This window comes from Homo sapiens, chromosome 1, assembly GCF_000001405.40.
Source record: "Homo sapiens chromosome 1, GRCh38.p14 Primary Assembly".
In the NCBI taxonomy this organism is placed as follows: Eukaryota; Metazoa; Chordata; class Mammalia; order Primates; family Hominidae; genus Homo; species Homo sapiens.
In genome coordinates this window covers 27,096,186-27,122,984 of record NC_000001.11, presented here as the reverse complement: position 1 = coordinate 27,122,984, position 26,799 = coordinate 27,096,186, and the positions used below count along the sequence as shown (strand labels likewise).

The following is a 26,799-nucleotide window of genomic DNA, read 5'->3' as shown; positions in this document are numbered from 1 at the left end:
CCCCAGGTAAGCACCCCACTGCCTGGCACCTCTCCCTTGCCAGGCACTGTTGGGCCTGTTGGAGCTCTGCCTCTTGTCAACACAACACGGGCTCTTTACTGCCGGTCCCAGTCCCTGTCCCTCCCTCTCCCCTGTGAGTCATCCTCTGCTTCACTGCATGGGGACTCTTGATCCAGTGCCTTTCCTGCAGGGGGAGGGGCAATCTGCTGGAGTGAAATTTATTCAACAAATGTTTATGCAGAGCTTGGATGATTGGGAAGGTCAGGCTGGTTACCAAGAGGTGCTGCCCCAGCTTGGAGTGGTATAGGGGTTACAGAAATGGGTCCTTGAGACCCAGGGAGAAGGCTGGTGGTGGTAGAACCAGGCTGCAGGCTAGGATGGGGCATTCAGGGCCAGGCTGAAGGTCAGGGGACCCTCTGAGGCCTGCTCTGTTGGCTCAGGCTCCTTGACTCAGTTCCTTCCTTGATCTGCCCGGGTCAGGCCTGTGTGCCAGCATCTCCTGCACTGTTCACTCTCATTTCCAGGCTGGCTGCAGGCTTCAGGATCCTCAAAAGGCTTTTGAGGTCCCCTCTCTTTTCATTTGTTCACACTCTTCCCCCTTTAGTCACCCACCTTTGAGACCAAACTCTAGTCCTACATCCTTCAGGAAGTGTTCATCATTCCCTTAACCCGTGTTTTCTGAGCATCACTTTTTGGGGGTCCAGAGCTGTGTGCTGGGATGCCAGGCTGGCTGAGGCACCGAACACAGCTCCTCAGTTTGGAGGGGCACCTGACTCAGCCTGGGGAGGGCGGGGGTGTGGCTCCAGGAAGGCTTCCCAGAGGAGGTGACACCTGCACTGGGGTTTTTTGTTTGTTCGTTTTTGTATTTTTGAGATGGAGTCTCACTCTGTCGCCCAGGCTGGAGTGCAGTGGCGCGATCTTGGCTCACTGCAACCTGCGCCTGCAGGTTCAAGCAATTCTTATGCCTCACTCTCCTGAGTAGCTAGGACTATAGGCGCACACTCAGCTAATTTTTTGTATTTTTAGTAGAGATGGATTTTCACCATGTTGGCCAGGCTAATCTCGAACTCCTGACCTCAGGTGATCCACCCACCTCGGCCTCCCAAAGTGCTGGGATTATAGGTGTGAGCCACTGCGCCCGGCCCTCCACTGAGTTTTGAAAGGTGGGTAGAAGTTCCAGGTGAGGAAGAGTTTCCTGCTGTTTGCTTAGAGGTGGGATTTGGGGACTTCTGGTCACTGGAGTCAAGGAGTTGATGTAGATGGGACAGGTGAGAGGAGAAAGGAAGGAGAGAGGGAGAGGCTATGCATTGTGAGGGATTTGTAACCCAGTGCCAGGGTTGCTGAGGCTGTGATCCTCTATCACAACATGCCTGCCTCCGGAACAGCCTCTCTTGCCAGGTCTCTAAGGCAGTTGCTGCTGGCTCAATCGCTGCTTATTACTCCAGGGGCCGCCCAGGCCCCCCAGCCTGCCTGACCTCTCTTTTCTCAGTCGTTTCAGTGCACAAGGTGCTCCTGTGTCTAGTCCCTGTTCTCACTTGTTTACAGACAAGAAAATGGAGGTTATTCCATGGTATAGTGATTTACGCAAAGCTCATGGTTACTAAAGGGCAGAGTGGGGTCTGGACCTGGGGTTTTGGCCTCCTTGCACGGTCTTCTCTTTTCCATGACTCAGATAGTCCAGTGTATGCTGCTTGTGTTTTCTGACAGCTTTTTACCTGCTTTCCCATCCAGACCTGATGTTCCCAGAGGGTGAGACCCTTTCTCTCCAACATAGTAGGACCCCCTGAAATGTGGATTGAAACAAGCAAGAAATAGAAGTGCTGTTTGGAAGAATGATGGGGAAAAACACAGAGAGAGACTGATTGCCCGGGTATGGGGAAGGATGCTTGCCCAGGTACTTGGAACAGATTTATTTATGGCTGTTTTTGTGGGGGAGGCATATTTATTGCAGACTTGAATTCTCTTCCTGGTGATCCTGACAAGCTGTTTTCTTTGAAGCAGCATGGCCCAAAGAACTAGCAGTTCAGAGAACTGGGTTCTAATAATGACCCTGCCACTTCCCAGCTAGGTAGCCTTGGACAAGTTACCTCTCTGAACCTGGATTTCTTCATCTGTCAAATTGGGGGTCAGGATGTGAGATGAAATGAGAGGGGGTGTGTATAAGCCCCCTGCACAGAGCCTTGCATCAGATTCTCCAAGTGTCCAGTGTTTGTCTCCTGGGTGCTGGAGAGTTTATCTTTTTTTTTTGAAATGGAATTTTGCTCTATTGCCCAGGCTGGAGTGCCATGGTGTGATCTCGGCTCACTGCAACCTCTGCCTAACAGGTTCAAGTGATTCTCCTGCCTCAGCCTCCTGAGTAGCTGTGATTAGAGGCGCCTGCCACCACACCTGGCTAATTTTTGTATTTTTCGTAGAGACGAGGTTTCGCCATGTTGGTCACTGTGGTCTAGAACTCCTGACCTCAGGTGATCCACCCGCCTCGGCCTCCCAAAGTGATGGGATTACAGACGTGAGCTGCCACCCCCAGCTGGCTGCTACATTTTAAAAAAAGTATTATTTGGCCAGGTGCGGTGGCTCACGCCTGTAATCTCAGCACTTTGGGAGGCTAAGGTGGGTGGATCACCTGAGGTCAGGAGTTTGAGACCAGCCTGGCCAACATGGCGAAACCCCTCCTCTATTAAAAATACAAAAATTAGCCAGGCGCCATGGTGGGTGCCTGTAATCCCAGCCCCTGGAGAGGTTAAGGCAGGAGAATCACTTGAACCCGGGAGGCAGACGCTGTAGTGAGCCGAAATCGCGCCACTGTACAACAAGAGTGAGACTCCGCCCCCCCAAAACAAAACAAAACAAAACAAAACAAAAAAAACCTCCCATCCCCACAGCAGAAACTCAATGAATAATACTTTTTTTTTTTGAGGTGGAGTCTTGCTCTGTCACCAGGCTGGAGTGCAGTGGTGCAATCTTGGCTCACTGCAACCTTCCCCTCCTGGCTGAGTTAACTTAGGAGAGCTTCCTGGAGAGGGCAGCCTTTGAAGATAGGAAGGATTTCATGAAGTCTTTACTAGGCCACTAGAGTAGAAGCAGTGGGAGACTTCCTGGAGAAGAGCTCATGGAAAGAAAAACCTACCGCTGGCCCTTTGGGAACTGCTTTGGGCCTCTTTAGTCCTAGGCTCACACGCCCCTTAGAAACAAAGTAAGAATAAAGCCAGGGATAATACAGTGAGTGGCCAAGAACACAGACTCTGGAGCCAGACTACCTGGGTTTGAATCCCAGTTACCAGCCATGTGACTTTGATCAAGTTGCTTAACCTTTGTGTGCTTCAGTTTCCTCATCTGTAAAATAAGGGGATGGTAATTGTGACTTCCCAGAACTATGGTGGAGAGCAAATGGGTTAAGAGTGTGCCGCTGTAAACTGTAGAGTGCTGGGCTTTCATTGGGAAGTATTACCTTTCATTGCTGCAGTTGAGACTGGTTGCTGGGGCAGTTGAAGAGGGAGTTAAAGAAATGGAATCATTGTGCAACTAGGAATCCCTTGGGACCTGGCCGAGTTGCAGCCCCAGAGCAGTCCTCAGGCCTGGAAGTAGGGCGACAGAGCCCTCAGTGTGCCCCTGGGTCCCTGGTGACCTGGCACTATGGGCCAAAGAGACCCCTCTTCCCAGCACTCCCCTCTGACTTCCCAGGCCAGAGGAGGGTTGCGGGAAGGGGGATCAGGCATGTCTGGTCACCCTGGCAACCCAGGGTGATGTCGGACAGCCTTGCCTGCTCCACTGAGCCAGTCTCAACAGATGGGGACCGTCCGAGGAGATATAAATAAAACATTCTTGTGGTGCAGAGCAGCCGCAGGGGGCTGGGAGCCTCCATCAATTGGAAGTTTGGTGAGGTGTCTGCTCAGCAAGAGTGTGTGTGTGTGTGTGTGTGTGTGTGTGTGTGTGTGTGTGTGTTCGTTCCAGCTACCACCTACACTAGATAGAATGAAAAACACTTCTCCCATCCCCCAGCCTCTTCTAAAAGGAGCGCCAACTCTGAACTGTGTCAGAGGGTTTGGCCTGTGGCTGTGCTTGGAGATGTTGAATTCCACACTTTCGTGCCTCCTTGTTCTGGGAGGACTGGACGTCCTCGAAGAAGGCTGTGTGGCTTGGAGTGTCACAGACTGCTGGGGTAGAACTGGACATGTGATCATTGACAGGTCACTGGCTGTCTCTGTCTCCATTTCCCTGACTATATAATGGAGAATTTAGATGCTCTCCAAGATCCATTCCAGCTCTTACGACTCTGGTTCTTACTCTAACTGCCTCTTCCCATCCCTGATTTCACCCTGGTGACATCACTGCTGCTGCATGTTTGGGCCCTGAAAGTTTTGCCTCATCTCTTGGCATCCTGGGATCTTGCCTCCATGCAGGGCTTTTGTCAGGGTACCAGGGGCCGCAGCCATCCTTCTGTGCCCCTTTCACCACACCGGGTGTCAGCAAGCATCCTGCTCTTTGTGGGGACTCTGCAGGGATGCAGAGTGAGCGCAGTTGGTGGAGTCAGGGCGTTAGGAGAGGGACAAGCCAGCGCAGGTCCAGGGGCTGCTTCCCACTTCCCTGAGCCGTTGCTCCTGAAGGAGCCTCCTCTTGATGACAGAATCCCTTCCTCCCCCAGCCCTAGAAGTGCTTTCCAATAATGTGCCACCTACCCACAGGCAGGGAGCCAAAAGTGGATCTCAGACCTTTCTCCTCAGCCTGGCCCGGCCCGGCCCTCCCCTCAGGCCCAGAGAGCCCATCAGGGCCTAGAGCTCCTTCAGCTCACTGAGCGCCAGAGACAAAACAGGAAAGCCAGGGAAACCAGCTCCAGGAACATGGCTCCAGCCCCAGGTACTCTGGAGCTGGCTGAAGGAGAAGGAGGTCGCTGTGCTGTAGTCAGGAGGCCCGGGACCCAGTCCTGGTTGGCCTGGCTGAGTGCATGCAGCCTCCTCTCAGAGCTCGTTTTTCTTGTGTTCAATAGGAATGCCAGCTCTCTGTTCACCTGGTCATAGAAGCTCCAAGGGCTGGAATAGCATGGCCCTCCCCATCAGCTGCTCACGGAGGTTCAGAGTCTGAGTCACCTCAATGTTCCCAGTGTCCCATATGGCCTGGCTCAGAGAAAATACCGAGCTTTGACTAAAGAATTAATTAGCGCTCTCTGCTACCGGTTTGAGACACCTAAGCTAGAATAGAGGTCCTCCCTTAGACACTAGGGGAGTGGCATAACCTTGCTGAGCCTCAGCTTTGTCTTCTGCAAAATGGAGGCAATACCTATCCCAAGGGCTGTGGTGAGGACTGAATGAGATGGTGCGTGCCAGGCTCCCAGCACAGTTCTGGCTCATGGGACGCCCTCAGACCTGAGGAGCCGTCTTCATGTTGCTGTTCTTGGCTTGTTTCACATGCCTGCCCCCTCCCCAGGCAGGAGCTGTGGCCAACTCTTCTCTGGGTCTCCCAGGCACTGTCTGGCGATTTATGGGGCCAGGAAAGCTCTGTGGATTGGGTTGATGGCACAGAGTGAGGGTAGGAGGCATTTTTAGAGCCCGACCCCTTAGGTGGAGGTGGAAGCCATCATCTGCCTACCCTGGACTATCTCTTTAGACTCTGCCTTCTCTTAAGGCAGCTCTTGGTGCTAACGCCAGGACAGGGGCAGGGAGGCTGTGGAGGGGGGTCAGCATGCAGCTGGCTGGAGCTGGACTTCCGGCCTTGGGAAGGTGCTTTCTGGCCCCTGCCTGTAGGAGCTCTGCTCCCCTAAATCTTCATCCTGCTTATCTCCGCTGCGCTGTGCCTGTCTCCCCTCCAGCACACTGCAGGTCTTTGGGGTCTGATGCCATTGTCTTGTCTCAGCTGCTTCTGCCTGGGTTGTCTGACTGATCTCGGTGGGTGCCAGGAAGAGAGAGAGGAACCTGGGAGATGACTGTGGATTGAAGGTTATGAGAGAGGGAAGCACCAGAAGATTCCTGCCCTAACCTGAGCAGACAGGTGGTGGTCAGGGAATGCTTCCTGAAGGAGGAGGCAGGCAGAGGATATGGTGTCAGCCACATATGGTGGGGGTAGAGGTAGAGGAATGATTTCTAGAGAGAGGAACTAGACTAGGTGAAGATTGGCAGGCAAAAGAGGATGTGGCTCATATGGGGCAATTGCAAGGAATTTGGCAAGGCTGAAACCTAAGAGTTGACAGTGGGGAGAATGGGACATGAGGCAAGAGCAGATGACAGAGGCAGTGCTGAAAATGTGGGCTTTATCCTCTACAGCAAGAGAGACTTGGGTCCAACATGACTAGCCCTTCCCAGTGGACCAGCCAGCTACACACTGGATGTTGACTGGTGGACAGTACAAAGACTGGGGGACTTTTCAGCAAAAGGGGTGATTTTGGAATTATTTTCCCTTTTATTGATGTGGGAAGTAGATGAACAAAAAGTGACTTTTGGTCATGTCTATTTTGAAATCAGGAGAATGCACATGGTGCCTTCGAGGTCCTCTTGGCCTAGGATGGAGACATCTTTTTTTCCCAATGTGTTTTGAGTGTCTTCAGGGTGCTTGGCACTGTGCCAGGATTCTGGGCCTGGATAGTGTTCAGTGTGTGAACTTTTTTTTTTCAAGATGGAGTCTTGCTCTGTTGCCCAGGCTGGAGTGCAGTGGAGTGATCTTGGCTGGAGCTCAGTGGCGTGATCTCGGCTCACTGCAACTTCTACCTCCTGTGTTCAAGCAATTCTCCTGTCTCAGCCTCCCAAGTAGCTGGGAATACAAGCACCCACCACCACGCCTGGCCAATTTTTATATTTTTAGTAGAGACAGGGTTTCACCATATTGGTCAGGCTGGTCTTGAATTCCTGACCTCAGGTGATCCACCCACCTCGGCCTCCCAAAGTGCTGGGATTACAGGCGTGAGCTACCGTGCCCAGCCAGCAGTGTGAACTTTGACTTGTCACCGTACTAGCACTGCCCAGATTCCTACCTGAGAGTAGGAAGGGCTTTGGGCATGGAGAGGGAAGTTCCTCCTCTGTCCCAAGGATCTCAAGAGTAAGTAATGAGAGCAGAGGCCTGGCCAGGCATGCAGGTTATCGGAAATCTTGGGTGATGTCCCAGCCCTGTGTATTTTCAAGTCAGCTGATATTTGTTGAGCACTTCTTGTGTCCTAGCCCTGGGTGTATAATGATAAGCAGTTATGGGATCTGCCTGCACAGAGCTTGCAAGATAGGGAAGGGGAGGAGAGAGAGCTTTGCTTTCTTCTTTCTTTTTTTTTTTTGAGGCTGGGCTCAAGTGATCTTCCTGCCTCGGCCCTCCTAACTAGCTGAGACTACAGGTGCATACCATGCCCAGCTATTTTTTTTAAGTGGAGATGAGGTCTCCTATGTTGTACAAGCTGGTGTCAAATTATTGGCCTCAAGTGTTCCTCCCACCTCAGCCTCCTAAAATGCTGGGATACAGGCATGAGCCACCATGCCAGGCCAGAGAGAGCTTTCCTCTTGAGCAAAGGGACAAACCCTCTTGGCTATGCCAACCCTGGGAGCATAGTACCCAACATACAACTAGATGCTCAGATTTTTTTCCACCTACTTTCCCACCCCAAAACAAAACAAACAAGTAAACCACTCACAGGAGCTCAGGGTTCTCTGGCCATACCTGATATTGAGAGAGGCCCTCTCAACGGGGATTTTTGCTACTCCTCAGCTCTGGGTTTGAAGCCTTAAGGTGGACTACAGCAGAGCGGCCTGTTGCTGGCCAGGACACGGCCTGGGGAGATGGCTGGTGGGTCCCAGGCAGAGGGGTGTGTGAGGAGGCCTTGATGGGAGGGAAGGATAGGAGAGCTTGAATTACAGAACTGTGCAGTTTGATGGGAACTGGGGCATCAGACCTGTGTTCTATTCTAGTTCTGCTCCCCACTTGCTGTGTGACTTTGGGCAAGTCCCTTCCCTTTTCTGAGCCTTAGTTGCCCCATCTTTAAAGTGGGTGGCATTGAGCTAGAAGCGGGATAGCAAATAGATTTTATCTCACCTGCCAAAGCTGGTTGCCACTGACATCCTTGAGCCGTGTCTTGAGCAGCTGCCTGGACTCAGTAGGAAAGCCTACTGTTTTGCAGGTTTGCAGACCCCAGGCCTTATTATCCCCAAGTTCCTTCCCACGCTGGTATTCTTAGATTCTTCTGTGCTTTCTTCTGTCTCCTATGCCACTCCCCACCAGCTGGTTGTCTGCCTTCTGCTTAAACAGCTCCGTGATAGGGAACTACCATCTTCCCTCAGACAGAATTGTTAGATTGTTATTCCTCAGGTTGAGCTCAGATCTGCCTCCCTGAACTTGTGCCTGGAATAATGCCTTGGGTTCAGGCGTAGGTGATGCCCGTAGGTACTTGGCACGTCAGTAATCAATTTATAATTTCTGCCTTCTGGAAGCATATAGAACTGCTGCTTTCTAACATTTTATGACAGTGACAGAGATAGCATGTATATATCCTTTGAAAAAAGTGCTTTAAAAACACTGTCACTTGGTTTATGATGGCAAACCTGTGAAGCTAGCATTGTCCCTTCCATTTTACAGGCGAGGAAGCGGAGGCTCAGAGAGTTAACAGAGCAGCCCTCTGAGACCCAGCCTGTGCACCTCTCACCAACTGCGCTCCTCATCCCCGGCCCATCCCCAACCTTCTATTCTCCTGGCTCCTCCGAAAGCCCATGGCCTCCCGTTCTCTCGCCCTCCGCAGGTTTCCATGTGATCCCCACTATCTCAAGCATCGTCCCGGAGAGCTGCCTGCTGATCGTGGTGGGGCTGCTGGTGGGGGGCCTGATCAAGGGTGTAGGCGAGACACCCCCCTTCCTGCAGTCCGACGTCTTCTTCCTCTTCCTGCTGCCGCCCATCATCCTGGATGCGGGCTACTTCCTGCCACTGCGGCAGTTCACAGAAAACCTGGGCACCATCCTGATCTTTGCCGTGGTGGGCACGCTGTGGAACGCCTTCTTCCTGGGCGGCCTCATGTACGCCGTGTGCCTGGTGGGCGGTGAGCAGATCAACAACATCGGCCTCCTGGACAACCTGCTCTTCGGCAGCATCATCTCGGCCGTGGACCCCGTGGCGGTTCTGGCTGTCTTTGAGGAAATTCACATCAATGAGCTGCTGCACATCCTTGTTTTTGGGGAGTCCTTGCTCAATGACGCCGTCACTGTGGTGAGGAGGCCAGGGGCCATGCCCATGTCCAAACGGTACAAACCCAAATCCAGGCCCACCAGTGAATCCCTCATCCACCCGCTAATAACAGTAATAAAAACAGCTGAGGCACATTCCCGCTTCCCGTATGCCAGGCACCATGCTGAGCCCTTCGGCATGGATTATCTCATTTAAGTCCTCATGGCTGCCTTAAGAGGTGCTTATTATTCTCATTTTCCAGGGGAGACACAGGCCCAAAGAAGTTAAATAACCTGTTGGAGTATGAACCAGTTTGTGATTGAACCAGGTCTGACTGACTCCAGGGCCTAAGCTCTTGGTTTTGCTAGGTTATATGCTCCCTCCTTGACTTGACTTGCTTTTTGTTTTTTAAGAGACAGGGTCTTGCCCTGTCTTCTAGGCTGGTGAACTGGTACGGTCATAACTCACTGCAGCCTCAAATACCTGGGCCTGAGATCCTCCTGCCTCAGCCTTCCGAGTGGCTAGGACTACAGGCATGCACCACCACACCCGGCTAATTTTTTAAATTTTTTGTGGAGATGGGGTTTGACCATGTTGCCCAGGCTGGTCTTGAACTCTTGGCCTCAAACCATCCTCCTGCCTCGGCCTCCCAAAGTGCTGAGATTACAGACCTAAGCCAACAAGCCTGGCCCTTCTCTTGCATTTTGATGTGAGCTTGGGCAAATTACTTACACTCTCTGTGCCTCAGTTCCCTCTTCACAGACCATATCATCTGTGAGGGGCCTTTCAGCTCTCATGTTGGCTATATCTTAAGTTAGAATTCGGTTTGTGCACAGTTTTTGGGCGGAGATTATGGAAAGGGGCCTTGTCTCCAAAACATCTAGAAGGTGATAAGTAAAAGAAGTTGGCCACTTGCTTGCTGTGTGACCTTAAGCAAATGCTATACCTCTGTGGCCCTCACCTTTTTTTTTTTTTTTTTTTTTTGAGATGGAGTCTTGCTCTGTCTCCCAGACAGGAGTGCAGTGACGCAAGCTCAGCTCACTGCAACCTCCGCCTCCCAGGTTCAAGCAATTCTCCTGCCTCAGCCTCCCAAGTAGCTGGGATTACAGGCGTGTGTCACCATGCCCAGCTAATTTTTGTGTTTTTAGTAGAGACTGGGTTTCGCCATGTTGGCCAGGCTAATCTCGAACTCCTGACCTCAGGTGATCCGCCCACCTCAGCCTCCCAAAGTGCTGGGATTACAGGCATGAGCCACTGCGCCCAGCCAGCCTCACCTTTGATAGCTGCAAAGTGGCAGAGGATTAGTGCTTTCCTCCAGGGTCTGCACGTGGTAGCACCATATACACCTGCACATGCCCTTCCTCCCAGCTGGTTTCCTTGGGAAACAGATGTGTGCATGTGCATGCTCACGTTGTGTTGTGAGAACACTCCCACCCCCTCCTGAGCTGTCCCGCTCAGAGCAGCTGCACACACAGGAAAGCTCAAGGGCACATGTGCATTCCCAGGCCATGACTCCCTCCTCTGCAGCCCCAGCCTTCAGGAAGCAGCACCTCAGAGTAGAGACAGACTGTGGTGTTCAGCTGCTGGCAGCCTCAGCTTCCTGTTCCTCCCACGCCTCCTCATGGGGCTGGGTAGAATAGCCTGACCTGAGCAGGCAGGCCTCCATCCTGGCTTCCTCTAGCACTAGCTCTTGCCCAGGGTTACCACATGAGCCTGAGTTTCCCCATCTGTGACACAGGGATTGCAGTACTCAGCCTGTCATCCTCCCAGGCTTCTTACAGGATTACTTACATTAGTGAGTCATACTCACTAATGTCTGTGAAGCCAGTGAGTGCCAAAGATAAAGCCCTCTCCAGTGGGATCTGGGTGTTGGGGTTCAGGTGAGCACTGCTGTGGAGCTTGGGGCATGGTTGCATCAAGCAGGTAACAGACCCAGCCATTTGTGGACCCATGGTCATGTCTCCCAAAGGCAGTGGCAGCGGTGGTAGTGATTGCTGGTGTTCATTGGGTGCTTCCTGTCTGAATGTGTATTGCCTCATTTTTATTTATTTATTTAGAGACAGAGTCTCCTGTCACACAGACAGTGTCACTCAGGAGTGCAGTAGCACAATCATAGCTCACTGCACCCTCAAACTCCTCAAATGATCATCCCCTCTTAGCCTCCCAAGTAGCTGGGACTGCAGGTGCTGGCCATCACACCCAGCTAATTTATTTATTTATTTATTTATTTATTTTGTAGATATGGGGTCTCATTATGTTGCCTGGGCTGGTCTCAAGCTCCCGGGCACAAGCGATGCTCCCTCTTTGGCCTCCCAAAGTGCTGAGATTACAGGCGTGAGCCACTGTGTCTGGCCTATGTTGCCTCATTTAATCTATACAGTAACTCCATGAGGTTGACACAGTTATATTCCAGTTTTTTTGCGATGAGGAAACTGAGGAACGGAGAGGTTACATAAGCCTGATATATGATATAGCTGAGGTTCAAATCCGTAGTCTGAGTCCAAAGCCCAAGTGCTTACCACTGTGTTACTCTGTTTCTCTATAGTTCCAGGGGTAATAGCACCAGGCCAGAAAGGAGGACTTTCCCCTCTGTGCCGACTCCATGGGCCCATGTGGTAGACCATGAGGACCCATGAATCCCCTCAGGCCAGGAATGAGTTTAGCCCACGGCTGAGTACGCACCTGCTAAGAGGCTGTCTGCCGCTGGAGCCCTGTCCTATCCCCCAGACAGCTGGGGCCAGGCCGCACCAGGCCTGGCCAGTGCTCTGCATCTCCCCTTGCTGCCTGGCCCAAGTCAGGTCTTTCTGGAGCTCTTGGCATAGGTGTGAGTGCCCCATTTCCCAGAGAGTAAAGCCAGAGGCTGACCCTGAGCTGCCTGGTCTCAGGTCTGTGCCCTAGACAGGTCACTCCTCACGGTCCATTCCTCCTGCTCCAGGTCCTGGGGGCTTTGGAGGGTTCCCTGTCATGGATCCTCACGTCCTTCCCTCCCTTCCCCCAGGCCTGGAAACTCCCTGCTCCTTCCTGGCAGAGCTGTCTAGGACAGACTTGAGTAGGCCAGGCAGCTCAGGGACCTAGCAATAGGAGGGGCAGATCCTCAAAGCTGAGCCTGCTGGGGAGGCCTCAGCCATGGCTGTCAGGGAATAAGTTCTGGGCCCAGTTCTTCTGCTCCTGGGCTGGGGGCCCCCTGGCGTGTTGTTTTACCACTGTGAGCCTCGGTTTAGCAAAGGAGCATCCTTGACCCACCTGCCTCGCATGGTTGTTGAGTGTCGACTCAGATAAAGACTATCAAAGGGCTTTACAGTGTATGAAGTGCCACTTAAACATCTGATGGTAGTGTTGCAATGACCATCTATTTCCCAGTCCAGGAGACAGGGATGCCTTAGCCTCTAATTCCATAGCATCTGAACTTGGCTGTTCATTGCAACCCCTGGGGTGCTTGTTACATAGAGATTTCTTGGCCCTATCCCAGAGAGTCCAAGTCCAGTATGGCCTGAACATGTGTATTTTCAGAAAGCTCCAGAGGTTAAGAAATGACATTCTAGTTCATTGTGTGAACGTCCCTTTTTTGTGCTGAAGGAGGGACTGAAACCCAGTGATGGGCATGACGTGCCCAAGGTCAGGCAGTGAGAGGCAGACTTGATAGCACCAGATGTGGCTAACACTGCATCAGGTAAGGCTCCGAGCACTTGATTCGCTGATTTAGTCCTCACAGCAGTCCTAAGATTTGGTATTATTATCCTCATTTTATAGACAGGAAAACTGAAACACAGGGAGATGAATTTGCTTCCTGTACACAACTCAGGAGTGGCAGAGCCAGGATTCCAGTCCAGGCAGTTTGGCTTCAGGGTCTTCACAGAGCTTCCCAGGGCCCACCCTTCACCAGTGGGGCACGTGGCTGGCCCAGAGCAAGCCCCTCAGCCCCAGGCTGAGGTTTTGAGCACCTGCTTGGCACTAGGGTTTCTCTGCTACCGTGTGGCCTCTTCTTGTGGCCATGGTTAACGGAGGGGACAGGATTGCCCTGGGTGGACCCCAGGGAACCGTGGGGCCAGGGCCCTCTCCTCCCACCCACCAGCCTGCACACCCTCCCCAGGTCCTGTATCACCTCTTTGAGGAGTTTGCCAACTACGAACACGTGGGCATCGTGGACATCTTCCTCGGCTTCCTGAGCTTCTTCGTGGTGGCCCTGGGCGGGGTGCTTGTGGGCGTGGTCTACGGGGTCATCGCAGCCTTCACCTCCCGATTTACCTCCCACATCCGGGTCATCGAGCCGCTCTTCGTCTTCCTCTACAGCTACATGGCCTACTTGTCAGCCGAGCTCTTCCACCTGTCAGGCATCATGGCGTGAGTCTGCGTGCAGCAGGCAGTGGGCTTGGCGGGGTGGGGGCGGGGGCTGCCAGCTTGGATTCCCCAGGCTCGTAGGTTCACGGAGCTCCCAGGGCCCAGCCTTGAGCTCCAGGGATGAGACATGAACTCCAGGCTCCAGACCTGCTTGGTAGCCATTTAAATGGCCAAGGGCATCAGTGGCTTCCTAGAAGAGGAGCACTTCTGCAGCGCCCCCTGGGGTCCAGGAATCGGGAGAGGGCATTTCAGGCTATGAGCAGATGAAGCAAGAATGACCTGCATGAAGGCAAGCCCAGGGTATAGGAGAGCAGAGCCTTGGAAGCCACTAAGCTTCAGGTTGAGGAAAGCCACAGCCCTGCTACTTCATTGTCTCAAAGGGAGTCCCCTCAGCAGCCCCAGTAGGAGGCTCACCAGGCCTGAGTCCTGGCGGTCCTGAGGTCTCCACCGGGTCTGGAAATGGGGAGAATGGGATGTGGGGAGGCAGTGAGGGGTGAAGGTGTTCCAGTGCCGAGCAAGGCAGAACTGGGGTTCAGAGCCCCTGGCTCCCAGGAGCAGAGCCCGGGTGTGAGCACTGGGCTGGGAGGACTCCGAGCTCCAAGCAGCTGCTTGGAACAAAGCTCCCTGTGGAGACCCCTGTGTAATGGCAGATGCCACGCTTGAGGGGAATGAACCCAGGAGACCATGGGTCTGTGTCATTGACTCCTATTGGGTCAAGAGGCAGTGTGGCCTTGGGGCAAAGGTGCAGGCTTTGGAGTTGGACACTGTGGTTTGTGTGTCTTGGCTTTGCTGCCTGCAGGCAGCGTGACAGGGGAGAGGTGACTATTTCTCTTAGAGTCAGATCTCTCATTTTTTTATTTGAGACGGGGTCCCACTCTTGTCACCCAGGCTGGAATGCAGTGGCACGATCTCAGCTCATTGCAGCCTCTGAGTTCGAGATTCTCCCACTTCAACCTCTCAATTAGGTGGGATTACAGGTGCCCACCACCACACCTGGCTAATTTTTGTATTTTTAGAAGAGACTGCATTTCACTACATTGGCCAAGCTGGTCTCGAATACCTGGCCTCAAGTGATCCGCCTTTGTCGGCCTCCCAAAGTGCTGGGATTACAGGCGTGAGCCACCGTGCCCAGCCAAGATCACTCATTTTAAAAATGGAGGAATAGGGCCGGGCATGCGCTCGTCGCCTGTAATCCCAGCACTTTGGGAGGCCAAGGCGGGTGGATTACAAGGTCAGGAGTTCAAGACCAGCCTGGCCAAGATGGTGAAACCCCGTCTCTACTAAAAATACAAAAAAATTAGCCAGGCGTGGTGGCGGGCACCTGTATTCCCAGCCACTCGGGAGGCTGAGGCAGAGAATTGCTTGAACCCGGGAGGCGGAGGTTGCAGTGAGCCAAGATCGCGCCACTGCTCTCCAGCCTGGGTGACAGAGTGAGACTCGTCTCAAAAAAAAAAAAAAAAAAAAAAATGGAGGAATACACCGTGTCTATAGGGTTGATGTGAGGATGAGTGGCAAGAGGGTGTAAAGCACACAGCGGGCCCCTGGCCCATAGAGGAGCTTGGGACATGGGCACCTTGGTCGTGGCCCCATTGCCCCTGGCAGTGGAGGGGCTCGAGCAGGTGCAGCTCGACACGGAGCCCTGACCCCGCTCTTTCCTGCTCCAGGCTCATAGCCTCAGGAGTGGTGATGCGCCCCTATGTGGAGGCCAACATCTCCCACAAGTCCCACACCACCATCAAATACTTCCTGAAGATGTGGAGCAGCGTCAGCGAGACCCTCATCTTCATCTTCCTCGGCGTCTCCACGGTGGCCGGCTCCCACCACTGGAACTGGACCTTCGTCATCAGCACCCTGCTCTTCTGCCTCATCGCCCGCGTGCTGGGTGAGGGCCAGGGCTGGGGCGGGGTGGGGGTTGTGGTGTGGGGTGTGTGTGGGGGGTGGTGGGCTGTGGTGCTGTGTGTGTGGTGTGTGCAGTGCACTATGTGGAAGGGCCAGGCTATGTGGTGTGTGCATGTGGTGCAGTGTATAAGTATTGTGTGGAGGGGCTGGGCTGTGGTGTGTGTGTGTATGCGTATTGCGTGTGTGGTGTGTGTAGTGCATTGTAGGGGGGCTGGATGTGTGTATGGTGTGTGTGTAGTGTGTGGAGGGGTTGGGGGTGTGTGTGTGTAGTATGTTGTGTGGAGGGCTTTGTATATATGTGTGTGTTGTGTGGAGGGATTGGGCTGTGGTGCAGTGTGTGTATAGTTGTGTGGAGGGGCTGGGTGTATATGTGGAAGGGCTGGGTGTGTGTGTAGGGGTTGGGTGTGTGTAGAGGGGCTGGGTGTGTGTGTGTGTGTGTGGAGGGGCTGTGAGGGTGTGGGTGTGTGTGGAGGGGCTGTGAGGGTGTGGGTGTGTGTGTGTAGAGGGCCTGGGTGTGTGTGTGTGTGTGTGGAGGGGCTGGGGGTATATGTGTGATGCAGTTTGTGGTGGAGGTTTCCTGGTTGGCTCCTGCCTGCTCCCAGCACAGCTAGACAGGAGGGACTTCCCATTTCCATGATGGGCCCTTCAGCAGGGAGAAGCCTGTGTCACAGCAAGGCTGTGGTCTCTGGGGACAGAGTCAGGCTGTGTCAAAGTGAGGGGGCCCTGAGACTCTGAGCCTGTGGCTGTGGCTGTCCTGATGAGGGGCCTGAGGCCCACAGAACCCAGGTCTGTGACTCTGAGCTGAGTGCTCTCTGCACTGTCTCAAGACAGGTGACGTGAGCATGTGCCGAATCGCATGCAGAGCCACGTGCAGTCCTCCAAACCTATGCAGCAGGCCGGGGCACACGTGGGGACCAGGCCCCAGGTGCATGGGTTCCACTCACATGTGCCCCACATGCCTCACCCCAGTGCCTCAGTCGCCTCCTCCCTGGATCTCTCACTTCCTCTCTGAGGGTTAGGTCCATGTCCCCAAGCCTGGCAGGACCTCACATTTATTTGGTGCACTTTTGAAATCCCCTTTATTCCTGAGCCTCATCCTCCAGGGATTCTGGTTCTGTGGGTGGAGGTTGGGCCCAGCCCTCTGCATTTTTTATGCTTTATTATGGAAAATTTCAAGTACTTAGAAAAGTAGAGAGAATAGGATCATGACCCCCCACACACCCATCACATTTAACAAGTATTGACCTGTGACCCATCTTGTTTGATCTTTTCTCCCTCTTCCTGCCCCCAGCCCTCCAGCCACTGGAGGCCTCCATGATGTCTCTAAAGCACATCCAGGTTGGGGAAGTCCTTTAAGGATCCACCCAGCTCTTGGATTGAGGAGTTCAGAGCACTCTGGGCTGAGGGACCCAGGAATTGAGTGAGCGGGGTGGGCTTCGTAATGGAGACTTCCTGGATGCACAGAGAAATCACTGATGCAGAATCCAGGAGGGACTGGGGACAGCCCGACCTGACCCTCATCACCCCCTGCCTTCCCCTGCAGGGGTGCTGGGCCTGACCTGGTTCATCAACAAGTTCCGTATCGTGAAGCTGACCCCCAAGGACCAGTTCATCATCGCCTATGGGGGCCTGCGAGGGGCCATCGCCTTCTCTCTGGGCTACCTCCTGGACAAGAAGCACTTCCCCATGTGTGACCTGTTCCTCACTGCCATCATCACTGTCATCTTCTTCACCGTCTTTGTGCAGGTGCTGGGCCAGGGCAGGGCAGGCCCTTGCCTTGGGGACCCTCACAGGCTGTTCCCGTGGAAAGAGAGGAAAGCGTGTGATTTGAAATGCGATTCTAGTCCCAGCTCCACCACTAACTTGCTGTGTGACCTTGGGCGAGCCACTCCCCCTTTCTGGGCCTCAGTTTCTTCAATCGTAAAGTGAGAATTGTGATGAGTCATTGCAGAGTGACTGATCAGAATGTAAAGGAACCAGAATGCTGCCCAACTTAATTTGGAACTCATAGAGCATTAAGAGAAGTGGGTACTGGCCGGGCACGGTGACTCAACGCCTGTAATCCCAGCACTTTGGGAGGCTGAGGGGGTGGATCACCTGAGGTCAGGAGTTTGAGACCAGCCTGACTAACATGGTGAAACCCCGTCTCTACTAAAAATACAAAATTAGTGGGCATGGTGATGCATACCTGTAATTCCAGCTACTTGGGAGGCTGAGGCAGGAGAATCACTTGAACCCAGGAGGTGGAGGTTGCAGTGAGCTGAGATTGCGCCATTGCACTCCAGCCTGGGTAACAAGAGTGAAATTCCATCTCAAAAAAAAAGAAAAAGAGAGAGAAGTGGGTACAGTCAACAGGCCCAAGATCTCTCTTTGCTACTAACTCATTGTAGGGCTTTAGGCAAGAGATTTCATATCTTAGGGTCTCAGTTTCTGCATCTGTAAAATGGGAATAATATCACAGCATGGGGAACTGGAAAGGGCTATGAGCCAGGCAGCAGGAGGCCTGGAGTCAGCCCTAGCTCTGTGTTGGTGTCCCTCTGACCCTAAGAAAGACCCCCACTCTTCTCTGGGTCTCAGTTCCCATCTGTAAAGTGAGGGAACCAGGCGAGATGATTCCCAAGAATCCTTCCAGCCTGCTGCTCAGTGATTTCTGTACATTTAAACGGCTCAGGCTTAGCTGACAGCCACTCTCCTGCCTAAGGTCCCCAAGGAAGCCCAGCCTGTGATGGTGCAAATTGCTCTGCCTTACCTGACTTTGCCTGACCTTGGGCAAATAAGAAACACTCTGTCTGAGCCTCCATTTCTTTACCATCCTTTCTGTCTTTTCTGGGCACTGATACTCAAAAAGCCCTAGATGGGATACATCTTTGCATTCTCTTGAGAAAAAAAAATAGGGGAAACCTGGGGCTGGGCTTATTTTCTGTCCTTTAAAGGGAGAGGGGACCCTGGTGCAGTGGCTCACGCCTATGATCCCAGGACTTTGGGAGGCCGAGGCAGGAGGATCCCTTGAGCCCAGTAGTTCAAGAGCAGCCTAGGCAACATGGCAACCTTGTCTCTACAAAAAATAAAAAAAAAATTAGTGGGTATGGTGGTACACACCTGTAAGTCCCAGGTACTTGAGAAGCTGAGGTGGGAGGATAGCTTGAGCCCAGGAGATTGAGGCAGCTGTGAGCTGTGATTGAGCCTGTGTGACTCCTCCAGCCTGTGTGACAGAGTGAGACTCTCTCTCGAGTTAAGAAAAAGGAGAGAGGCTGGGCGCGGTGGCTCATGCCTGTAATCCCAGCACTTTGGGAGGCCGAGGCAGGCGGATCGCCTGAGGTCAGGAGTTCCAGACCAGCCTGGCCAACATGGTGAAACCCTGTTTCTACTAAAAATACAAAAATTAGCTGGGCGTGGTGGCAGCCGCCTGTAATCCCAGCTACTTGGGAGGCTGAGGCAGGAGAATCACTTGAACCCGGGAGGTGGAGGTTGCAGTGAGCTGAAATCGCACCACTGCACTCCAGCCTGGGTGACAGAGCAAGACTCCATCTCAAAAAAAAAAAAAAAAAAAAAAAGAGGAGGAGGCTGCCACTTTTGTCCTCTTGCCCTGCTTCCATCTTCAAAAAATTTTTTTTACCTTGATTTTGCAGTTGTATGTGCTAATGATTTTCCAAGCCCATTTTCATTGAAGGCAACATTGGGGAGGGGGCCTCCCTCCAGAGCCAGCCTGCCTGGGTTTAAATCATGGCTTTACTGCTTCTCTGGGATCTTAGAAAGCTGCTTATCCTCTCTGAGCCTCAGTTTCTGCATCTGTTAAATAGAGACAATGGAAGGACCTCCCTCTTAGTGTTGCGGATATTGGAGAGCTGATTGATGCTAGAACACTTCCAAGCACGTGTGTTGGTCACATGGCAGGTGTGCAGTTCCATCTGCTGCTGCTGTTATTACTCGGTCCTCCTCACAGTCCTGGTGGGGAGGCAGTGCAGAGGTAGTTTTCCCTGTGTGTGGGGCCTGACTTCCATGGGGTTGCAGAGCAAGTCTGTGGTGCAGTCCACATCTGAACCCAGGCTGTCTGCTGCCTGGCCCAGGCCAGATGACCAGTGTGGGGGTCATTTGGCAGTGAAACCTCTGACCGTGTCTCCAGGAAGAAGCAGGCCTTAAGGACCTGTCTTTAGATAAGTGCTGGGAGGTGGGAGAGTTCTCACACCCTTGGGTCCTGGGAGAGAGCAGAGCAGAGAGGGCATCCTAGCCTTGGGGGCCTGGGGTGAGGGAGGGAGGCTCTGTGGCCTCCCTGCCTGGGTAGCAGAACTGGAGTGCCTGACACCTGCCTGCCCCCCAGGGCATGACCATTCGGCCCCTGGTAGACCTGTTGGCTGTGAAGAAAAAGCAAGAGACGAAGCGCTCCATCAACGAAGAGATCCACACACAGGTACTGGAGTGCGGGCTGGGCCCTTGGTTGCAGAAGGAGGAACAGGGAGATAGGGAGCAGCTGGGCCTCAAGTCTCTGCCCCCCATCAGCCCCTTCTCCCTGTGCCAGTGCCCAGGGGCTCCCTCTGCCCCAGGAGGCCGCCAGGGTCTAGCCATAGGAAGGTGTGGTGTGAGCAGCTGGGAGCCTGAGGAGGGGGCATCATGCCATCTCTGCCTCCATTTGAAACCTATCCCAGGCATAGGTCCCAGGTGGGATTAGAGAAGGGGGCTCAGCCGGACACAGGCAAGGCTTCGAGATACCCAGAGTCAGGGCCGCTGGGTTCGATGAGTGGAGTGTGGGCGCCACCTCCTGGCTGCTCATGGAACCACAGGGCTGGACCCAGCAGGGCTGCAGCTACGGGAGGGAGTGGGGCTAGTCAGAGGTCTTGGTAGGGAAGGCGCCCCACAGCGAGGCTTGACTTGGCCCTGGGCCCCTTTCAGTTCCTGGACCACCTTCTGACAGGCATCGAAGACATCTGTGGCCACTACGGTCACCACCACTGGAAGGACAAGTAGGTGGCAGGCCTGGTGGGCAGGCAGGGAGGGGCAGGCAAGGGTCTCCTGGGCCTGGGCATCTCCCCACTCCTGGAAGCTGGCGCCATCCGTCTCCCTCCTCCTCCCACCAGGCTCAACCGGTTTAATAAGAAATATGTGAAGAAGTGTCTGATAGCTGGCGAGCGCTCCAAGGAGCCCCAGCTCATTGCCTTCTACCACAAGATGGAGATGAAGCAGGCCATCGAGCTGGTGGAGAGCGGGGGCATGGGCAAGATCCCCTCTGCCGTCTCCACCGTCTCCATGCAGTGAGTGCTGGGGCAACCAGGCAGCTTCTGCTCCCACACACCGGCCCCTCAAGCCCGGTTGGAGGTGGCCACCTGGGGGGCGGGGTCTTCTGTTGTCCTGTTGGGGCGGACAAGAGAGCTGTGGGCTCGCACCAAGGACCTGAGGCTTTGGCGCCCACCTGGGTCATCCCTAGGGTGACTTCCTTCTGGCCAAACCTGGGAGGCACCAGGATCCCAAGAATCTTGGGGACCTAACCGATGCCCTATTGCCCCAGGAACATCCACCCCAAGTCCCTGCCTTCCGAGCGCATCCTGCCAGCACTGTCCAAGGACAAGGAGGAGGAGATCCGCAAAATCCTGAGGAACAACTTGCAGAAGACCAGGCAGCGGGTGAGGGCCTGCTCCCCAGCCCGACCCCCAGGGTACAGGAGCCCTTCAGCCCCTCTCTACGGCAGCCCTGCCCTGCCCGTGCCCCTCGGCACCCACCCCAGGACTGGCCCGGCCTCCAGCACTGCCCCCACCCCTCCATGAGCAGAGCCTTCCGGGGCCCGCACTGCCCTGACGCTGTCCCTCCCACAGCTGCGGTCCTACAACAGACACACGCTGGTGGCAGACCCCTACGAGGAAGCCTGGAACCAGATGCTGCTCCGGAGGCAGAAGGCCCGGCAGCTGGAGCAGAAGGTAGCCTCTGCCTTCCTCTGGGAATCTGTATCCCACCCCACTCGCCCAAGCTCCGCCACAGCCTCTAAGGAAATGTACCCATTCTAGGAACAGGGTTTGGCTTTCGAGGGGCTTTTAGCAGTGTAAGGGCATGGAGAGCCATGAGTTCTAAGCAAGGGATTGGCGTGGGGTTGTGGGGCATGGCCTGGGTTAGGGCAGTGGCAGGGGACAGAGGAATGGGTGGATTTAAGGCTGAGCAGTGTAGGTGTATTCAGGGAGGCTGTGACAGGAGCCTGGGATGAGCCCTTAGGAGCTCCTGAGGGGCCAGTACGGGTGCCCACACAGGCACAAGGGAGGGGGAGCAAGCGCCCTGCATATACGAAAGGTGGGGTGTGCACTGGCCGGGTTCTGTCCTGAGGGGCTCCCTCTGCCCAGCTGCCTGTGCTCACCCCGTCTGTCCTCTCTGTCAGATCAACAACTACCTGACGGTGCCAGCCCACAAGCTGGACTCACCCACCATGTCTCGGGCCCGCATCGGCTCAGGTAAGGGCCTGGCGAGGGGCCTCAGGACTGGGCACTCTGAGCTGCCACCTCCTGAGGATGGGGCTCCACAGGAACAGTCCTCAGCCACTGGGAGGACAGGCCTGGCCCTCGCTGACCTCAGGATCCCCTCCCAAGCCATGAGCTGCTTCTACGTCAGGGGCCATCCCTAGGGAGAGAGACGTTCCGGGCGAGGACTGTGTGGGGAGCTGGGAGAGCCACGGTGCCTGGCAGGAAGGCAGGGTATCTGCCCCATCGAGACCCCCAACACGTGTGGGGAACGTGAGGGCAGGGCCCCAGGGCAGACTGACTCAGGGAGGAGCCCCAGGCCTTGGCCTGTGGAGGGACACCTCTGGGAGCCCCTGTCAAAGGAGAGGGCCACAGTCTGAGGAAGAGAAGCTGTGGGGTGGAAGGTCGCAGAGGCCTGCTTCTGAGGCCTGTTGGGACCGGGACGGCTGTGCTCATGAGAAGGCCTGAAGGAGGCACTGACGCGGCCGAGTGGCACGTGCTGGGCCGGGCTCCAGAGCGGAACCCAGCTTGTGCCTTGCTCTTGGTCCCCAGACCCACTGGCCTATGAGCCGAAGGAGGACCTGCCTGTCATCACCATCGACCCGGCTTCCCCGCAGTCACCCGAGTCTGTGGACCTGGTGAATGAAGAGCTGAAGGGCAAAGTCTTAGGGTTGAGCCGGGATCCTGCAAAGGTGGCTGAGGAGGACGAGGACGACGATGGGGGCATCATGATGCGGAGCAAGGAGACTTCGTCCCCAGGAACCGACGATGTCTTCACCCCCGCGCCCAGTGACAGCCCCAGCTCCCAGAGGATACAGCGCTGCCTCAGTGACCCAGGCCCACACCCTGAGCCTGGGGAGGGAGAACCGTTCTTCCCCAAGGGGCAGTAACACCAGGGCCAGCAGGCAGCGCCTGTCCCCTCACAGACTCTTCCACCAGAGCAGGGGCTGCTGGGGGCTCCCCTTGCCCTTCCTGACCCGGATTGGCCCTGCCCCTCCCCCTACCGCATGGCAGCTGGGCCCACAGCCCCCACCCCAGCACAGCTCCTCCCCTGCCGCCTCCCGGGAAGCATCCTCCCCACCAGAGCTGCCTCCCCAATCCATTTGGCAGAACTGCTGGGGCTGGTGAGGCCGGCCCTGCCCCTCCCTAGATCCAGGCTTCTCCCGGACCTGGACTAGGGCCTCGGAGGCTCCTCCCTCTGCCTCATCCTCCTCCTCATTCAGACCAATCTTAGTTTCTAACCAAAGAGTCTCTGGCTCAGCTGTGGTCCCACCCAGGAAGGGAGGGAGCTGAGGCCTCCCTTGAGTAGGCCCTGCTTTATCAGGGGACAAACCAGGGGTACCAGGCACATGGCTGGGGGAGGGACTGCTGACCCACCAAGGTCTCACACTCCTCCTGCCAGCTCTGTCACCCTGGCCACCACCCAACCTGTCCTTACTCAGAGCTGCGGGCTGAGGGCATCTCTGAGTGTCTCTGCCTGGAGCAGGGGTGGTTTCTACGGTGACAGTGACGTGACTCAGAGCTTTTCGAACTGTGCTCCCACGGGGACCACTGGGCCCCTCAGGGGAAGCTGCTAGGGGAAGGACTGGCCGTGGCTCCAGAATGTGCTGCCTTTTTAAGTTTTGTTTGTTCACACTCCTATATATGATTGTTTGCACAGAGGGCGCTCCTGTTTTTAAAACATTTTGAAAACCCCTGGCTGAACAGTGCTCTGCCTCTAACTCCCTCCTCACACTCCAGAATTACCCTTCCTCATCTGTGCCTGTCTGTCCAACCCCTCCCCCACGTCTCTCTGCCTGCTGGGCTCTTAACTGTTGCTCGAAGACTGTGACATCAGAAGTAACTCCCACTCCTAATCAAGAGTCTCTCCAGCCTCACAGATGCTGGCCTCTTGGCACCTGCCTAGCTCTTGGGCCTGACCTCCAGTCCTGCTGGCCTGCTCTTACTTCCCCCACCCTGGGTTTGGCCCCTGGAACCTTTCCCTTGTGTGTACCACACCCTGCCTGCTGTGGAGCCCATTGTGGAGGCGGTGGGGGGGAGAAGGCCTCCCCTGAGGATCCCCTGTCCCCTGGGGCTGGTGGATTGGGCAGAATCCTGGGCCCCCAGAGACCTTTGCCCACACACACTCCTTCCCCTTGTCCCTGGGGCACTCCCCCAGGATTGTGCAATAGTCAGAGTGTCCCTTTTTGCAGGGGACTGGGCCATGGGTCCTCGGCCCATCTGTCCATCCTCCTCTCCATGCAAGTGCTGTTTGGGCAGGAGTCACCATGCAAGGGTGACATCGACAACCACGTACCAAGCCACCGCAGCTGCTGCCACTCTGCTGCCTGTACAGAAGAAACTGAATCTTTTTCATATTCTAATAAATCAATGTGAGTTTTTAATAGAGTCAAGGGCTGCTTTCTGGGGACGAGGGTCTTTAGGAGGGAGGGTGGCCTGAGGGCGTGAAGTACTTAGTTCAAAGGCTGGCACAGAAACACTTCATGGCTGTCAGCTGCTGGGGTGGTTGTTCCCACATGCCAGGCACTGAGATACCACAATGAGCTAAGCAGGACGTGCCCTGCCCCGCGGGGGAGAGCGGCACTAACCAGTGCCCAGTGTTTGTGCAAGAGGTGAAAAAGAGGCAGAGGGGAGGGAGGGACGGCGAGGAGGACCCTCCTGAGTCCCGAGTGAGTGAGATCCCAGGAGGGGACTGAAGAAGGAGCCAAGGCTTCCGGGTGGAAAAGGACCCAGAAAGTTCCCAAACATTGTAACTGGGAGCTGTGCCCACGAACACTGGGACCTGAGAAAAGGCCGGGTGGCTGGGTCAGAGTGACAGGGGAGGCAAGGATGGGGCCGCGTGCTCCATGGTTAAGATTTTGCTCTTAACCGTGGGAAGACCAAAAGGGCAGTGGGAAGTCACTGAAGCCCTCAAGTTCTCACCTGTAAAGTGGGGACAGTGACCCCTGCATGAGATAAGCTCAGGTGTGTACAAACTGAGCCTCCCTAATCAGAAAACCCAACACAACGCCATGAATGGAGAATGCACACCTGACCTCATGAGACAGTCAAAACTTTGCTGCATGTGCAATATTTAAAATATATAAAATTGGGCCGGGCGCGGTGGCTCATGCCTGTAATCCCAGCACTTTGGGAGGCCAAGCTGGGCGGATCACCTGAGGTCAGGAGTTCAAGACCAGCCTGGCCAACATGGCAAAACCCCATCTCTACTAAAAATACAAAAATTAGCTGGGCATGGTGATGTATGCATGTAATCCCAGCTACTCGGGAGGTTGAGGCAGGAGAATCACTTGAACCCAGGAGGTGAAGGTTGCAGTGAGCTGAGATGGAACCACTGCACTCCAGCCTGGGTGACAGAGCAAGACTCTGTCTCAAAAAAAATAAAATATGTAACATTAATTTCAGGCTATGGGTAGAAACTGTATATGAAACATAAATGAATTTCGTGTTTAGACTTGGATTCTATCCCCAAGATATCTCATTATGTATGTGCAAATATTCCAAAATCTGAAACACTTCTGCTTTCAAGCATTTGGGGTAAGGATTGCTCAATCCCTAATGGGCTCGGTTCAGCAGAGGTTGGAGCCCTGAGGTGCATTTCCTGGATCCAACCACCAGAGGGCAGTGGGGCCTTGGCGCGCACCCCTGGCACCCTTCGAACCTGGGCTGTCCAGGAAAGCATCTCCTTTGCCCAGTCTGGGACCTGAGTGTGGAGCTGGTTTAACTCACAAAATCTGAAGCGGTTAGTGCCAAGAGGATTACAGGGTTATTATCAAAGGATTATTCCTGTATCCATCGGTTCCCTAGCAGGAAATGGATGTTACAGCCATCCCTCCATATTTTCCGGGGATTGGTTCCAGGACCCACATGGAAACCAAAATCCTTTCATGCTCAAGTTCCTGATGTAAAATGGTGTAGTGCTGTTGGCCCTTCATGGATTCTGCATCCATGGATTCAACCAACTGCAAATTGAGAATATTTGGGGAAAAAATTCAAATAATAAAGTGTAACAACTATTTACATAGTATTTACATTGTAATCTAGAGATGATTTAACGTATATGGGAGAATGGCTGGGCACAATGGTTCATGCCTGTAATACCAGCACTTTGGGAGGCCGAGGCGGGCGGATCATTTGGGGACAGGAGTTTGAGACCAGCCTGACCAACATGGTGAAACCCCGTCTCTACTAAAAATAAAAAAAATAGCTGGGTGTGGTGGTGCATGCTTGTAGTCCCAGCTACTAGGGAGGCTGAGGCAGGAGAATCACTTGAATCTGGGAGGTGGACTTTCCAGTGAGCCGAGATCGCGCCACTACACTCCAGCCTGGATGACAAAAAAAAGTATATAGGAGAATGTATGTAGGTTATAGCCAAATACTACATTATTTTATATAAGGGACTTGAGCTTCCTTGGATTTTGGTACCTGGGAGGGTCCTGGAACCAATCCCCCATGGACACCAAGAGATGGATGCATTTGCGTATAACCAACACTCATGTTCCCATATACTTTAAATCATCCATAGACTACCTATAATACCTAATACAATGTAAATTCTGTGTAAGTAGTTGTCAGCTGGGTACGGTGGCTCACTCCTATAATCTCGGCACTTTGGGAGGCGGAGATGGGCGGATCACTTGAGCCTAGGAATTCAAGACCAGCCTGTGCAACATGGTGAAACCCCACCTCTACAAAAAAGACAAAAATTGGCCAGGCATGGTGGTGCACTGGTCCCAGCTACTTGGGAGGCTGAGGTGGGAGGATTGCTTGAGCCCAGGAGGTCGAGGCTGCAGTGAGCCATGTTCACGCCACTGCACTCCAGCCTGGGCAACAAAGCAAGACCCTGTCTAAAAAAAAAAAAAAAGTTGTTATACGGGTTTTAAAGTTGTATTTTTATTGTATTGTTATTTTTTGTTTACTCATTTTTATGTTTTCAATTTGTGCTAGGTTGAATCTGAGGCTGCAGAACCCGAGGGTACAGAGGCCGACTGTGTATTTAAAGGGGTACCAA

At 54.1% G+C, this 26,799-nt stretch overlaps 1 protein-coding gene across 4 annotated transcripts in view, besides 14 other annotated features; it reads left to right on the top strand.

Moving 5' to 3' along the window:
* SLC9A1 (solute carrier family 9 member A1) overlaps window positions 1-24,176 on the top strand; it is a 56,317-nt gene extending 32,141 nt beyond the window's left edge. For 2 of the 4 annotated variants that reach the window (XM_011542021.4, XM_047428769.1), the window contains 12 exons: window positions 1,732-1,894; window positions 8,699-9,159; window positions 13,208-13,458; window positions 15,120-15,337; window positions 16,898-17,100; window positions 19,673-19,762; window positions 20,242-20,312; window positions 20,427-20,600; window positions 20,855-20,969; window positions 21,159-21,260; window positions 21,710-21,782; window positions 22,341-24,176. In XM_011542021.4, coding sequence (XP_011540323.1) covers window positions 1,873-1,894; window positions 8,699-9,159; window positions 13,208-13,458; window positions 15,120-15,337; window positions 16,898-17,100; window positions 19,673-19,762; window positions 20,242-20,312; window positions 20,427-20,600; window positions 20,855-20,969; window positions 21,159-21,260; window positions 21,710-21,782; window positions 22,341-22,678 — 2,118 coding nt within the window. In that variant the 5' untranslated portion in view covers window positions 1,732-1,872 and the 3' untranslated portion in view covers window positions 22,679-24,176. The remainder of the gene's footprint in view (window positions 1-1,731; window positions 1,895-8,698; window positions 9,160-13,207; window positions 13,459-15,119; window positions 15,338-16,897; window positions 17,101-19,672; window positions 19,763-20,241; window positions 20,313-20,426; window positions 20,601-20,854; window positions 20,970-21,158; window positions 21,261-21,709; window positions 21,783-22,340) is intronic. The other 2 variants (NM_003047.5, NR_046474.2) reach the window with 2 other exon arrangements.
* Window positions 33-327: an enhancer, noted in NCBI's record as "tiled region #8944; HepG2 Activating DNase unmatched - State 8:EnhW, and K562 Activating DNase unmatched - State 5:Enh". NCBI's record gives its function as "activates a minimal TATA promoter and a strong SV40 promoter by Sharpr-MPRA in HepG2 and K562 cells {active_cell/tissue: HepG2 | K562}" and the evidence as "EXISTENCE:reporter gene assay evidence [ECO:0000049][PMID:27701403]".
* Window positions 3,181-3,890: an enhancer, noted in NCBI's record as "H3K4me1 hESC enhancer chr1:27445586-27446295 (GRCh37/hg19 assembly coordinates)". NCBI's record gives its function as "activates a minimal SCP1, AML or CMV promoter by ChIP-STARR-seq in naive H9 embryonic stem cells {active_cell/tissue: H9 hESC(naive)}" and the evidence as "EXISTENCE:reporter gene assay evidence [ECO:0000049][PMID:30033119]".
* Window positions 3,891-4,601: an enhancer, noted in NCBI's record as "H3K27ac-H3K4me1 hESC enhancer chr1:27444875-27445585 (GRCh37/hg19 assembly coordinates)". NCBI's record gives its function as "activates a minimal SCP1, AML or CMV promoter by ChIP-STARR-seq in naive H9 embryonic stem cells {active_cell/tissue: H9 hESC(naive)}" and the evidence as "EXISTENCE:reporter gene assay evidence [ECO:0000049][PMID:30033119]".
* Window positions 5,312-6,023: an enhancer, noted in NCBI's record as "H3K4me1 hESC enhancer chr1:27443453-27444164 (GRCh37/hg19 assembly coordinates)". NCBI's record gives its function as "activates a minimal SCP1, AML or CMV promoter by ChIP-STARR-seq in primed H9 embryonic stem cells {active_cell/tissue: H9 hESC(primed)}" and the evidence as "EXISTENCE:reporter gene assay evidence [ECO:0000049][PMID:30033119]".
* Window positions 8,318-8,891: an enhancer, noted in NCBI's record as "H3K27ac-H3K4me1 hESC enhancer chr1:27440585-27441158 (GRCh37/hg19 assembly coordinates)". NCBI's record gives its function as "activates a minimal SCP1, AML or CMV promoter by ChIP-STARR-seq in naive H9 embryonic stem cells {active_cell/tissue: H9 hESC(naive)}" and the evidence as "EXISTENCE:reporter gene assay evidence [ECO:0000049][PMID:30033119]".
* Window positions 8,892-9,466: an enhancer, noted in NCBI's record as "H3K27ac-H3K4me1 hESC enhancer chr1:27440010-27440584 (GRCh37/hg19 assembly coordinates)". NCBI's record gives its function as "activates a minimal SCP1, AML or CMV promoter by ChIP-STARR-seq in naive H9 embryonic stem cells {active_cell/tissue: H9 hESC(naive)}" and the evidence as "EXISTENCE:reporter gene assay evidence [ECO:0000049][PMID:30033119]".
* Window positions 10,528-11,029: an enhancer, noted in NCBI's record as "H3K4me1 hESC enhancer chr1:27438447-27438948 (GRCh37/hg19 assembly coordinates)". NCBI's record gives its function as "activates a minimal SCP1, AML or CMV promoter by ChIP-STARR-seq in naive H9 embryonic stem cells {active_cell/tissue: H9 hESC(naive)}" and the evidence as "EXISTENCE:reporter gene assay evidence [ECO:0000049][PMID:30033119]".
* Window positions 10,528-11,040: a biological region, named in NCBI's record as "H3K4me1 hESC enhancer GRCh37_chr1:27438447-27438948".
* Window positions 10,551-10,620: an enhancer, noted in NCBI's record as "active region_537". NCBI's record gives its function as "activates an Ori minimal core promoter by ATAC-STARR-seq in GM12878 lymphoblastoid cells {active_cell/tissue: GM12878}" and the evidence as "EXISTENCE:reporter gene assay evidence [ECO:0000049][PMID:35858748]".
* Window positions 10,961-11,040: an enhancer, noted in NCBI's record as "active region_536". NCBI's record gives its function as "activates an Ori minimal core promoter by ATAC-STARR-seq in GM12878 lymphoblastoid cells {active_cell/tissue: GM12878}" and the evidence as "EXISTENCE:reporter gene assay evidence [ECO:0000049][PMID:35858748]".
* Window positions 12,708-12,912: a silencer, noted in NCBI's record as "fragment chr1:27436564-27436768 (GRCh37/hg19 assembly coordinates)". NCBI's record gives its function as "represses an EF-1alpha promoter that drives an FKBP-Casp9 reporter gene in an ReSE screen in HepG2 liver carcinoma cells {active_cell/tissue: HepG2}" and the evidence as "EXISTENCE:reporter gene assay evidence [ECO:0000049][PMID:32094911]".
* Window positions 16,709-17,908: an enhancer, noted in NCBI's record as "MED14-independent group 3 enhancer chr1:27431568-27432767 (GRCh37/hg19 assembly coordinates)". NCBI's record gives its function as "activates an origin of replication core promoter dependent on BRD2, BRD4, P300/CBP and CDK7 cofactors, and independent of MED14, by STARR-seq in HCT116 cells {active_cell/tissue: HCT116}" and the evidence as "EXISTENCE:reporter gene assay evidence [ECO:0000049][PMID:35650434]".
* Window positions 19,445-20,303: an enhancer, noted in NCBI's record as "H3K4me1 hESC enhancer chr1:27429173-27430031 (GRCh37/hg19 assembly coordinates)". NCBI's record gives its function as "activates a minimal SCP1, AML or CMV promoter by ChIP-STARR-seq in primed H9 embryonic stem cells {active_cell/tissue: H9 hESC(primed)}" and the evidence as "EXISTENCE:reporter gene assay evidence [ECO:0000049][PMID:30033119]".
* Window positions 20,304-21,162: an enhancer, noted in NCBI's record as "H3K4me1 hESC enhancer chr1:27428314-27429172 (GRCh37/hg19 assembly coordinates)". NCBI's record gives its function as "activates a minimal SCP1, AML or CMV promoter by ChIP-STARR-seq in primed H9 embryonic stem cells {active_cell/tissue: H9 hESC(primed)}" and the evidence as "EXISTENCE:reporter gene assay evidence [ECO:0000049][PMID:30033119]".